This window comes from Homo sapiens, chromosome 1 (genome assembly GCF_000001405.40).
Source record: "Homo sapiens chromosome 1, GRCh38.p14 Primary Assembly".
In the NCBI taxonomy this organism is placed as follows: domain Eukaryota; kingdom Metazoa; phylum Chordata; class Mammalia; order Primates; family Hominidae; genus Homo; species Homo sapiens.
This window is the reverse complement of record NC_000001.11, coordinates 177,199,806-177,213,822: the sequence shown is the minus strand read 5'-3', so window position 1 is coordinate 177,213,822 and position 14,017 is coordinate 177,199,806. Positions and strand designations below refer to the sequence as shown.

The 14,017-nt window shown below is 39.8% G+C and overlaps 1 protein-coding gene across 3 annotated transcripts in view; it reads right to left on the bottom strand.

The window, feature by feature from the left end:
* Nucleotides 1-14,017, bottom strand: part of BRINP2 (BMP/retinoic acid inducible neural specific 2) — a 111,465-nt gene that overhangs the window by 68,600 nt on the left and 28,848 nt on the right. The window contains exons 1-2 of one of the 3 annotated variants that reach the window (XM_024448722.2): nucleotides 5,138-7,299; nucleotides 4,113-4,226 (exon numbers count right to left, since the gene is read on the bottom strand). The exons of 1 other annotated variant lie outside the window; for it this stretch is intronic. The gene's annotated coding sequence lies outside the window, so the exon portion shown is untranslated. Of the gene's footprint in view, nucleotides 1-4,112; nucleotides 4,227-5,137; nucleotides 7,300-14,017 lie in introns of those variants that run through there. One more of the 3 variants, XM_005245379.3, reaches the window with a different exon arrangement.

Sequence of the window (14,017 nt, the reverse complement as noted above, 5' to 3'; positions counted from 1 at the left end):
TAGAAGAAAGGGAAGATGGGAGAAAAGGCTGAAATGTAATGATTTAGTTTTTTTGAAAGAAAGCTGTGTGAAAATCCTTGTTATAATGCTCCTGCAGCAAGCCCTATTAACCAAAGTCACATCAAGAAGACCATGCTGACCAGGACTTGCACACGTCCACGACTCAGTGATAATAGAGGTTCAAATCAGTCACTTCTGAATCAAAACAGATTAATTATTTTCAGCCTAATTTTGAATTGCATCAGTGGTTTTCAGTCAATTCTTTAGAAAATAGTATAAAGTAACTTTATTATTCAGTATTTTAAAAATCAAATTATTTTATTTCTTGAACATGGTGAATAATAGAAAATTTACTTAAGACAGAGCCAACCATTTATTCCTGTGGTTCTCAATTAGGGAAGGAGAAGGGGTGATTTTGCCCCCAGGAGACCTTTAGCAATATCTAGAGACGCTTCTGGTTGCAATAAATGAGGGCTGGGTGCTCCAACTAGTGAGGTAAGGCCAGGCGTGTTTCTCAATAGCCTATAATGCACAGGACAACTCTCCACCATAAATAATTCCGTGACCCCAAATGTCAGTAGTGCTAAGATCGAGAAACGCTGATTTATGCCAACAAATTTTAATGAATCAAGACTCATAAAATGTCTCTGAAAAATGTAAGACCAACTCTTTAGAGAAGTTTTTCATTTTGTCTAGTTTGCCAACACACATCATGGAACAAATGATCAAAGATTACACATCTCCACATCTTTTCCTTTTAGGCCTCTGGGTTCATGCTTAATAGGACCTTCATAACAATAACAACAATAAAACCAATAGAAAATATCTATTTATTAAGCACATATTTTCTTTTGGGAACTATGCTAAGCACTTTATTTCCACCAAGGTAGGTATTATACCCAGTAGTGCCCAGTGGCGCTCACCTAGCTTCAAGATCTTGGTTCCAAAGTGCTATTCTCCACTAAAAGGAATTAGTGCTCCTTGGAGAAATGGATGATTATAGAACTGTGGCAATTAAAGCATAATATGAGCCTGGAACATTTTTTTGTGTGTGACAAACAGTAGTGTGCTGGTGAATTTTTAACACCCAGAGCTGGGGGAAAAAGCTCTGATTGTAACATGTGCAGACTTCTGTGATGTAAATACCTTTACCATACTAGGTTCCAAGCTACTGACTTGATAGGATTAGCTCACAAATATCCTGAAAATTTTACAATGGGCTCTTCTAAGCTAGTGTGAAACCAACTCCAGCACACCAATAAATTTTTTTTTTTTTTTGAGACAGAGTCTTGCTCTGTCGCCCAGGCTGGAGTGCAGGGGCACAATCTCAGCTCACTGCAAGCTCCGCCTCCTGGGTTCACACCATTCTCCTACCTCAGCCTCCCAAGTAGCTGGGACTACAGGTGCCCGCCACCATGGCTGGCTAATTTTTTGTATTTTCAGTAGAGATGGGGTTTCACTGTGTTAGCTGGGATGGTCTCGATCTCCTGACCTTGTGATCCGCCCACCTCAGCCTCCCAAAGTGCTGGGATTACAGGCGTGAGCCACCGCGCCTGGCCTAAATGTTTTAAATACCCTAAAAATAATGGGTGTATGTCAAAAGGACACAGAGCCACCTTGAAAGGGCTCCCCTCATGAACTCCAGGACAATGGCAAATAGATTACATTTCAGTGAGTAAAATACTAATCTATGAGGCCACATTTTATCTATCATCTATCTATCTATCTATCTATCTATCTATCTATCTATCTATCTGTGTCTATAGAGATATGTAGACAGATGGCACATAGGTAGGTAGGTAGATTGATTGATATACTCAAACAGAGAAAGAAAAGAAACCTTTTATTTATAATATAATGTCAACTAATACATGCACAAAAATTATGGAATTAGAGAATTATTATTTAGCAATCATCACAGTGATAATCCATTGAGGTAAGAAACATAAATCACTGCCAAACGATGGGATAAAAGTTGATGTAGAATGAGATATTTCACAGTTTTAAAGTATTTCTTCAAAACACTTATACAGAGAAAAAAAATAACTTTACTGTGGACAAACATGACAGCTACCATCTTACTCAAGTGGTCAGTTAATACCACCAGTAATAACCCAAATAAAAATCATGTGCCAGCTGATAGGATCCAGTGAGATCATAGAATCACTTCTGTGATAGTCCTGCCAAAAAGCCATAACTTGAATCATAATGAACAACACAGGGCTGGACAGAACGAGGAAATCACAGACAAATCTAAATTAAGGAACATCCTACAAAATAACAAGCCTGTAATCTTCAAAAATATTAAGGTCATGAAGGTCAAAGTAGGACGGAGGAACAAATTGTTCCAGATTGAAGGACACTGAAGAGGCATGACAAGTACGTGCAATGTACAATCCTGAACTAGATCTTTTGTCATACAGGCTGTTACTGGGTCAGCTGTAAACCTTGAAAGGGTCACTGGGTGAAGGGCCCATGAGAGTTATTTATAGTCTTGCATAACTTCCCTGTAGAGCTGAAATTACTACGAAGCACACAGGAGAAAAATGAAAAAAATAAAGTTATATATATTTACACAGTTGATGGGGCCAACATTGACATCTTGGTTCTAATTTTGACATCTATGCTATTTACCAATCTACAATTTTAAAATATATGCTCTTTTATTGAAACACATGAGGAATACCTTAGACGTTGTAAGACAGATCCTCATAATTTAAAGCTTTATGGACATAACTGGAGACTTGTTATCTGGTTGTATCCAGGGTGGTGCAATAGAAATATAATGCAAACCATATATATACATGTACATAATATATATATACATAATATATATATTAAATTTACTAATAGCTATATTAAAAATATAAAAAGAAATAAATGCACCTAATTTTAATAATATTTTATTTAACCTAATCCAAAATATTGTCATCTGAACATGTAATCAGTATAAGAAAATTATGACTGAGTTTTTTTTTTCACACTGAGTCTGAGATCTGGTATGTATTTCACATTTACTGCACATCTCAGTTTAGATAATAATTTTTCATCGGAAAGTTTTGATTCTCTATTTAGATGTCAAATAATTTATAGTTAAAAAATAGATTCACCTATATGAGTTACTCCAAGAATACTTAAACTTTTTCTAACATCTGAACTGAGTATGTTTTTAACTTAAAAAAATAAAAACTTAAAATTTAGTTAATTAGTTGCACAAGCTATATATTAAATGCTCAATGGCCACATGTGGCTGGTGGCTATCATAATGAACACAGGGCTGGACAGGTCTATATTTCATCCATTCCTATATATTTCTATGTATTTATTGTTGTGCATGTACATTGCTCACTCCATTCCTATATACAAATATGTACTGTAACTTTATGAAGAGCAGTGTACTCTTTTCATTTTGTTGCCTCAAGCAGAAAGATTTTGAGTGAAGCATGGTTCTAGACAAGTGAAGGAATCAGAGGGCCTGGCTCCTGATTTTCCACCTCCAACTGCTTGGTTAAACTCTCTTGAACCATGGCTGTCTCTGCTCTGGAACTTAGGTGAGTAAATATAGAAAGCACACAGCAGAATGGCACCACAAGGGAAAGATTATATGACTGAAAAGCACTAGATAAATATTAACTTGTTAGGCTGTTTTTATTTTTAGAGACCAGAAGCAGAGGACAGAAGATATTGCCATCACAAATTTCTCTGACTTTGGAGAAGTCAGTGAATTTGCTATTTTGACTTCTCTCCTGTAATGATAATAAAAGTACGCACTGTTCTATTCCAACAACCCTCACACATCTACACCACAGAATGAATTAGAAAATGTCAGCAAAATGCTATGCTCTCAAGAAAGAAAAGTATTGCAAATGAATTTATATTAATAATTGTTGCCAGGTGCTGAAATTATGGATGCTCTTTACCTTCTTTGTTAGGATTTTATGTATTTCCAAATTTTCTATAAAGCGATGAATTATTTTTATAATCATAAAAGCTCTTTTTCTAACTAAAAAATTAGAACAAGGTATTATGAATACTCTTTTATCTCCATTTTTTTTCTTTTTTTTTGTTATCTATAAGACTCTGAGTGAGACCTGAGTGTTAGCTGTTCTTACCGGAGAGCTTCAGCCACCAATTTGAACAGCTGGTCAGACAATCCTTTCATTTCCAGGATCTCAGTGTCTCACACTTGGTTGCTCCACTTGCGTGAGGCGGAGCTGGGGTTTAGTCTAAACAAACAGAAACAATTCATCACACTCATTCACAAATGTCACTCCTTTAGCTATTGCCCAGCCCCACCATTCTTGACTCTCTGCCAGTTCTACAGCCTTGTGCTTAGTCAGTCCTTGGCCAAGCAGCCTGTGAGGATGGCCCAGGCAGATCTTGGAACTGGTGCTGGTGATTCAGCAGGAAGAGGCTTTCTGTCTCACTCCATCCATCCTCACTCTCTGCCCTAATGAGCTGCCCAAAGGCTGCAGCTGCCCTCCTGACATCTCAGCTGGTGTGGAGGGCCTAGGGAGAAATTACCCATATGCTTTCTGTGCTTGTCGATCCCTGAAGTTTCAATTAAAGATGGTTTCAGATCTTTTTTTCTTTTTCTTTTTTTTTTTTAAATATCCTAACTTAGAACCCCTTGCTTCCCCTACAGGGCCACCACATACTGTGATGCAGATTGTCCTTGCACAACACCAAGAGGCACCATTCACACTGTAGCCTAAGTGAATGGCACCCTGTGTTGTTGAGCGGAACACAACCCATGCGGTCACACACAGGGCCCTGCCACTTCTGTGTTTTACCTCTTAAACTCCAGAATGACAAGCCTCACTCTTGGTGATGCAGCACAGTTGTAAAGGTGCAGGGAATAAAGGCAAGAGACGACCCAAGAGGCAAACAAAAGAAGAAAAGTACATTTGCCTGATCACGTACATTTCTGGGTACCATCAACACACCCCTGGAGTACAGTACCCTGAGGTGGCTTGCCAGGGTTCAAATATGTAATGCGTTTTGATAAACTCCAATTGTGTTATTTGTGCCTTCAAAGGATTCTTATTGAGGCTGGGACCCAAACACGTCAGTGTCACTCCTAGACACCTTCCTTTTCAGCACTTACTGTGATAACTGTGTTAAAATCAAATCTTACCTGTTCATTAAGGAAATAACAGTTAAAGGACAACAGCTGAAAAAAGAAGAAGATGAAGAAAAAAAAAATCTGTGGCTATGATGCAAATGTAGAATGTAGTGGAGAAGGGGCCAGAGAATAATGCACACTCTCTACAGATTCAGCACCTGGGATGCATTTCTCTGAAGGGCAGTTACCAGCAGTTAGTGGGTTACAGCCGTCACCACACCAGGGGATAAGGAGAGTGGGGAAATGGTTAAGTACACTTTTTTAAAAGACAGTACTTATCTACTTATTCTCATTTGTTGGATATTTGTTTCAAACACAAAACTATCCTTCCCAAATTTGCCTCTCAACACTGTTCTTTAACCTACTTACATACAGTGCCTGCCTGTCTTTCCACAAACATCTTTAAGCTTGACTTCTGCAAAACCTGCGGCAACTTTCCAGTCTCCAAGCCTGGGAGGCATCTTAGTACCTGTGGCTAGTACTTACTGAGCGATGACTGGGTGTCAGACATTGCTCTTACTGCTTTTCATACATTGTCTCATTTGATCCACAGGACAATAAAAAGCTTTGTGTTCTACTGTTAGATTCTTTTTATGGATGAGGAAATTAGGAGCTAAAGAGATTAATTTCTAAAGCAGCATTTCATGGCCAGAGTGGGTTGTCTGGGTCCAGAGTGCAGGTTGTAACCACCAGGTTCTACACCCCTCAATCCACTTCTCCCCCATTACCCTAACTTGTCTGCGGCGTTTGGCACTGCTGGCCACTCTGGCCTGACTTTTCTCTTTCCTGGTTTCTGTCTTTCTGTCTTTATTTTGCTTTTCCTGCCTCCTGTCTAGATTTAGCTTCTTGGTTCACTTTCCTCACTTCACCTCCTTCCACCTCCAGGGCCTATTCTAACTCTCAGCCCCAGGAACCAGCCTTTTTTGAGGGAGCAGGGAAAGGGAAGCAACCAGAGAGAAACTGTAACCAATGTAGCCAGAGAAATATTCCAGGAAAACGGCCACCATGTCGGCAACTGACATCTGGAATTCTAGACTCATCACAAAGGCCCTTTGTTTCATAGAGAAAGATGCAGAATCCAGATTCTGAGGTTTAGACTTACATATGCGACTAATGGTACAGCTGGGACCAGATTCGAGGCATGTATTTGCCACTCAGCCCAGAGACCCTTGGTTGCACCCCACTCCTCTGACAAATCTCTGGTTCCAACAAATGCCTGCAGGACTCTGTTATCCACACAGGACTTCCACATGCCCGCCCTTACATGGCTGCATCCTATGACAACACTTGTTTTCAGCAACCCTACTCTTCCCCCTTAAATGCCTCCTTCCCACCCTGCATGATTCCTCCCTTTGCCTCAGGTTCAAAGTTTTCTCAAAGTTTGCCTTCTATCTGTCTACCTGTGAGCTTGGTTTTTCCAAGCTGTTAGCCACTCAGGCTCTAGGTAACATCTTTCTTCTTCTATAGGATTTATTTGCAGCAGGATACAAAGGCCATTAGTAAATCAATAACCCTTTACTTAGAAAAGGAGGGGAGGTAGAGACCTGGAGTTTTTAATTCAGATCTAGCAACTCCTGAGGCATTATCAGGAGCATTCTAAAAATAGGCCTTTGAAAGGCCTGATGTGCTAGTGTTGCAGCTTTATAGCTTCCTGCCCATAAACAGAAGCAGCTTGCTATGTGTGGAATCATTAGCTGAAATCTCCCTCTCCTGTGGTTGTTATGTTTTCCTCTAACTCTAACACCATATGTATTATCTATTGCTCTGGGGCTGTATGTTTCTTTCACTCTTGCCCCTAATCTCTTCTATCCACATATGTCTTAGATGTGGATGTCTTAGATAGATGGACTAACTTTCCATCTATCAGTGTGTTTCCATCTCACCCACAAAATACTTCTGTCACTCTCTGAAGCCTCATTTGCCAACGTAGCCACGTTGAGTATCCATAAGTCAGCACATGTCCTAGTGCCTTTCATGCTTCCTACTAACATCTGGGGACTCCTATCACTGGCTGTCCTTATCCCTCTTCTTGTCCCACTGTCTCCACACAGTTCTTCAGGCATGTGTGTGAGTGGGGCAAGAGTAGTGGTGACATGACCACGTGCTTTAAGGCCAATGCTGTGATATCTAAAATAATACACGTAAGATTTAGCTATAAAACATCAGAGTTCTGCATCTCCTTTCACCTAGCAAGTCTACATCTGGACAATTATTTTGAAGATGTACACAAAGATTCAGCTACAAGGATGTTAGTTGGGAGAGGGAAAGCACCATTTACCTGGCCTTTTGTTTCTAAAGAATATACTAACAATCTATTACTATGTAACAAATGTGTAACAAATTATTTTCTTACCTTATAACAAAATTTAGTGATTGGAAATGATAATAAATATTTACTATCTCACCTAATCTCTGTGGGTCAGAAATTTGGGTGGCTCTAACTCTGGGTCTCTTATGAGGTTGTAGCCATAATGCCTGCCAAGGCTTCAGTCATCTGAAGTTTGACTGGGGAAAGAGGATTCAGGTCTAGGGTGGTTCATTGTCAAGGCTGGTGGGTTGATGCTGGCTGTCGGTAGGAGGTCTCCATTTCTCTTCATGTGGCCCGCTCCACAGGGCAGCTTAAGTATTCTCACAACATCTCACGTCTCACAGAATCTGGCCTCCCCAGAGAGAGTGAGCCAAGAGATAGCAATGCAGAAGCTGTTATGACTTTCATGACCTAGCCTTGAAAATCACACATCATCATTTCTGCTGTATCTTTTGGTCACATAGACCAGCACTGATACGCTATGGGAGGGGCCTATGCAAGGGTGCGAATACCAGGAACTAACGAGTATTGAAGGCCATCTTGAAGCCTAGCTGTCACATAGGAGAAGACTTCACCATGAAATATACTCCTGGTCTCTCTCCTCACCAAGAACTATTGGTATTGTGAGTTTGAGAGAAGCACAGAGCTCACACTGACCTGTTAGTTCTAGACTTCTTTCTCTTTTCCAGCTAGACAGCCTGCAGTGGATGGGCATTCTGCCTGTTTTCTGTTACCCAATAAACTTAGCATAGCAGGCCCTGCCTGTGTGGTCAGCCTGCTAAATCCACACATTTAGGGAAGTAGCAATGGGAAGGCTTGTGTTGTCTGGCCTGATTTGGTTCCAGATCAAGGTTATCCTAGGATCTGTACTCATTCTTCTCAGGAATGAAGCTGATCTTTACTTGCGTCTTATTCCTCAACTGAAATTCTGTTGAAGAAAAATGGAGGCCAGGCACAGTGGCTCACGGCTGTAATCCCAGCACTTTGGGACACTGAAAGAGATCACTTGAGGTCAGAGGTCAGGAGTTCGAAACCAGCCTGGCCAATGTGGCGAAACTCTGTCTCTACTAAAAATACAAAATTTAGCCAGACATAGTGGTGGGTGCCTGTAATCCCAACTCCTTAGGAGGCTGAGGCAGTAGAATTGCTTGAACCCAGGAGGTGGAGATTGTGAGCCGAGATCATGCCACTGCACTCCAGCCTGGAAGACAAGAGTGAAACTCCATCTCAAAAAAACACAAACAAAAAAAGTATAGGTGAAGAAAGAAGTGCTATTTGTTGACACTTCCCCCACACGTTCCTAAACACATTTTATATTATATAATATGATATTTACAATAGTGGAAAATCCAAAGTAACCTAAATATCAAATAATAGATTGCTTGAGCAAGTTATGACATATACATATGATACAGTATAATACAATCATTTAAAAGTATGCCATACAAGAACACTTAGTGGTATGAAAAATTATTTAGGATGTATTAAGTGAAAAATTCAGGTTATAAAATAGAATGCAAGTTTTTATTCCATTAAACATAATGTATATCTGCTTAGAAAAAGACTCTATATACACACACAAAAACATCATTTGTAATTATCACTGGTTGGTAGGTTTATGGGTAGTTAAAATTTGCTTCATTTTGGCTAATCTGTTTTTCCTAAATTTCCTATATTTTACATTCATTACCTTTGTAATGAGACAAGAAAAGAGAAAGAGTTTCAGATGGTAGTTCAGGGGTTCAATTAAAAGTAATCAGAAATTTTTAACCTTCTTTATTAGAGAGAGAGCCGGGCATTGGTGTTACCAGCCCACTTGCATAAGCCCATTTGACACCATTGATCATTGCCTCTTTCTTAAACATATTTTCTTAGCTTTCTTGGCCCCACTCTCTTTTTTTTTCTGCTTGTTCTGTGGCCACTCCTTATAAACTCATCCTTCTACATCAAGTCATTCAATTGGAGTTTCTCAAAGCTCAGCTCTAGGCCTTTTCTCTCTCTTGCTGTATACTTTACCCCCTGGTGACCTCACCTCCATCCATGGCTTCACAAGGCAGTTAGCCACAGAGCATATGAGATTCACACCTCCACCCTAGGCCCTCTCCTGAACTCACATGATTTGTGTTCTACCTAACTGACTACTTCAACTAGGTGTCTCAAAACGGCCTCAAATTCAATATACCCAACCAGCTTCATAATCTCGAGTGGTTTCTATCACAGTGAAGGGCAAAATAATACATCTATTCTTGTGGTTCTTATAACGTAGGATGCATCTTGGAATTATCTGGAAAGCCATAAAACACACCAATGTCTGTATCCCCAAATGTTCTGGTTTAAAAAGCTAGGGATCTGGTGCCTTCAACCACAGGGCACTTGCTCCTGATATTGGCACTCCTATGCGGGGTCTGTCCCCTTATCTCTTAGCCCACAATTCTGAGTTCCAGCATCAGGGCTTTAAGGACGCCTTCCTTGAATCTCTCTGTCAGGGTCAAATTCCTGATTATAGCCTCTTGAAACATCACCTCTCTTTTACTCATAGCACGTTTCAATTATGATTGTACATATTTGTTTGGATCATTGTTTGGTCAAACTCTGTTTCCCCTGCTAGTCAGTAAGTTCCAAAAAGGCTGCATATTATTTCTTTTGGTCCGTTTTATCCCTAGCATCTTTTATATTAAATAACACATAAGCGGCACTCAAAAATGTTCCTTAAATCAATAAAAAGTGAATTGGTTATGGTTTATTGGTCCCCACTTCATACCAGTGCATTCAGATGACAGCATGAATCTTGCCTTATCCCAGTGGGTCTTTTTTTTTAAATTTTTATTTTCATTCCTTTATTTCATATTGTTTTCTTTAGGATTACTTTTTGTTTGTCCTAAATGTTTTCTTTTTTTATTTTTTTATCGTTATTATACTTTAAGTTTTAGGATACATGTGCACAACATGCAGCTTTGTTATATATGTATACATGTGCCATGTTGGTGTGCTGCACCCATTAACTCATCATTTAGCATTAGGTATATCTCCTAATGCTATCCCTCCCCACTAACCCCACCCCACAACAGTCCCTGGTGTGTGATGTTCCCCTTCCTGTGTCCATGTGTTCTCATTGTTCAATTCCCACCTATGAGTGAGACCATGCTGTGTTTGGTTTTTTTGTCCTTGCGATAGTTTGCTGAGAATGATGGTTTCCAGCTTCATCCACGTCCCTACAAAGGACATGAACTCATCATTTTTTATGGCTGCATAGTATTCCATGGTGTATATGTGCCACATTTTCTTAATCCAGTCTATCATTGTTGGACATTTGGGTTGGTTCCAAGTCTTTGCTATTGTGAATAGTGCCACAATAAACATACGTGTGCATGTGTCTTTATAGCAGCATGATTTATAATCCTTTGGGTATATACCCAGTAATGGGATGGCTGGGTCAAATGGTATTTCTAGTTCTAGATCCCTGAGGAATTGCCACACCGACTTCCACAATGGTTGAACTAGTTTACAGTCCCACCAACAGTGTACAAGTGTTCCTATTTGTCCACATCCTCTCCAGCACCTGTTGTTTCCTGACTTTTTAATGATCGCCATTCTAACTGGTGTGAGATGGTATCTCACTGCGGTTTCGATTTGCATTTCTCTGATGACCAGTGATGATGAGCATTTTTTCATGTGTTTTTTGGCCGCATAAATGTCTCCACCCCAAATCAACAGAATATACATTCTTTTCAGCACCACACCACACCTATTCCAAAATTGACCACATAGTTGGAAGTAAAACACTCTTCAGCAAATGTAAAAGAACAGAAATTATAACAAACTGTCTCTCAGACCACAGTGCAATCAAACTAGAACTCAGGATTAAGAAACTCACTCAAAACCACTCAACTACATGGAAACTGAACAACCTGCTCCTAAATGACTATTGGGTACATAATGAAATGAAGGCAGAAATAAAGATGTTCTTTGAAACCAACAAGAACAAAGACACAACATACCAGAATCTCTGGGACACATTCAAAGCAGTGTGTAGAGGGAAATTTATAGCACTAAATGCCCACAAGAGAAAGCAGGAAAGATCTAAAATTGACACCGTAACATCACAATTAAAAGAACTAGAGAAGCAAGAGCAAACACATTCAAAAGCTAGCAGAAGGCAAGAAATAACTAAGATCAGAGCAGAACTGAAGGAAATAGAGACACAAAAAACCCTTCAAAAAATCAATGAATCCAGGAGCTGGCTTTTTGAAAAGATCAACAAAATTGATAGACCGCTAGCAAGACTAATAAAGAAGAAAAGAGAGAAGAATCAAATAGATGCAATAAAAAAATGACAAAGGGGATATCACCACCGATCCCACAGAAATACAAACTACCATCAGAGAATACTATGAGCACCTCTACGCAAATAAACTAGAAAATCTAGAAGAAATGGATAAATTCCTCGACACATACACTCTCCCAAGACTAAACCAGGAAGAAGTTGAATCTCTGAATAGACCAATAACAGGCTCTGAAATTGAGGCAATAATTAATAGCTTACCAACCAAAAAAAGTCCAGGACCAGATGGATTCACAGCCGAATTCTACCAGAGGTACAAGGAGGAGCTGGTACCATTCCTTCTGAAACTATTCCAGTCAATAGAAAAAGAGGGAATCCTCCCTAACTCATTTTAAGAGGCCAGCATCATCCTGATACCCAGTGGGTCTTGATGAGATCAAGGTGTATCAATCCAGATCCTCAGTCCAGATTCAACCACAGGGAGCTCCATTCATGACATAGGCTTTGAGACAGGCAAACTTCAGCCAGCTAAATATCCAACAAATTTTAATTCTTCAAGCAAAAAATTTTCAGTGTTAACTAACTATATCTAAGCAAAGTGTTTGTTACTATGAAGGCTGACAAAAAGTACAAGGCAAAATCTTTGACTTCCAGTGACAGGCAAGGACTCATTTTTGGGCCTCAAGAGAAAACTGAAGAAATAGTGTACCTTCTCTCTTATTAAAGAAATAGTCCTTTATGACACAATAGATGAAGCCAAAATTGCCTGAAGCGTCCTGTCCAAGCCAATTAAAAGAGAAACATGTTAGAAGAAATTAAACTAAAGGCATAGCTGTGCCATCATCAGTTTAGACCTCTGAAACTCTTAGATGTCCAGTTCTATTCAATACCTGTTTTGTTTATTTATTTTTTCTTTTTTTTATTTCAATAGTTTTGGGGGAAACAGGTGGTGTTTGGGTATATGGATAAGTTCTTCATTGGTGATTTCTGAGATTTTGGTGCACCCATCACTTGAGCAGCATACACTGTACCCAATGTGTAGTCTTTTATCCCTCACCAACTCCCACCCTTGCCCCTGAGTCCCCAAAGTCCATTGTATCATTCTTTTGCATCCTTATAGCTTAGCTCTCACTTATAAGTGAGAACATACGGTATTTGGTTTTCCATTCCTGAGTTACTTCACTTACAATACCTGTTTTATAAATAATGAAGCACTATAAATATTATTTTTATCTCATATTTATTTCAAAAAATATTGAGTAACTGCTACATGTTAAGCAGTAATCAATTATTTAATCTTATGATGCTTACTTTCTGGTGGGTAGGTGTGTATACACAGTAAACATACAAATAAATACATACACAAAGTATTAAGTGATCATAAATGCCAGGAAGAAGAAGAAAGCAGGGCAAGGAGAGACGGGGTGTGCTGCTTTATATAGAGTACTCAAGAAATAGGTGTATTAGAGCAAAGACTTGAAGCAAATGAGATAGAAACCAAACACGGCATTTGGAAGAAAAAAGTATGACAAGCCGAGGGAGGAATGAGTACAGGTAGGAGGAGCCTGCTTTACTTGTTAGAGGAATGGCCAGGAGGCTGGAGTGGTGATGAAGCAGTGAGTGGGAGAGCAGGAGGAATGGGGTCAGATGGGCAGCGATGAGCAGATTTTGCAAGACTCTGTAAGGACTTGAGATTTTCATCTGAGTGTGACATTGTGCTGTAGAAGGTTCACTGTGGCTGCTATGTTGCTCTGGCTGCTATGTTGATAATGCATTAATGCATTCTTTTTTTTTTTTTTTTTTTTTTTTTTTTTGAGACAGAGTTTCCGCTCCTGTTGCCCAGGCTGGAGAGCAAGGGCGCAATCTCAGCTCACTGCAACCTCTGCCTCCTGGGTTCAAGCGATTCTCCTGCCTCAGCATCCCAAGTAGCTGGGATCACAGGCATGTACCACCACATGTGGCTCATTTTGTATTTTTTAATAGAGATGGGGTTTCAGCATGTTGCCCAGGCTGGTCTCGAACTCCTGACCACAGATGATCCCCCTGCCTCAGACTCCCAAAGTGCTGGGATTACAGGTGTGTCCCACACCTGGCGCCTGGCCTGAGAATACATTCTAGGATACCATGGGTAAAAGTAGAGACCAGTTCAGAGGTCAGAATAATGGACCAAGTAAATGATGATGGTGGCTTAGACTAGGACAGTAGCTGTGAAGATGGTGCAAAGTGGTCAGATTCTCTACATATTTTGCACATAGAGCCATGAATATCTGCAGATGCATTGCTTGAGAAGAATAAGGAAAAG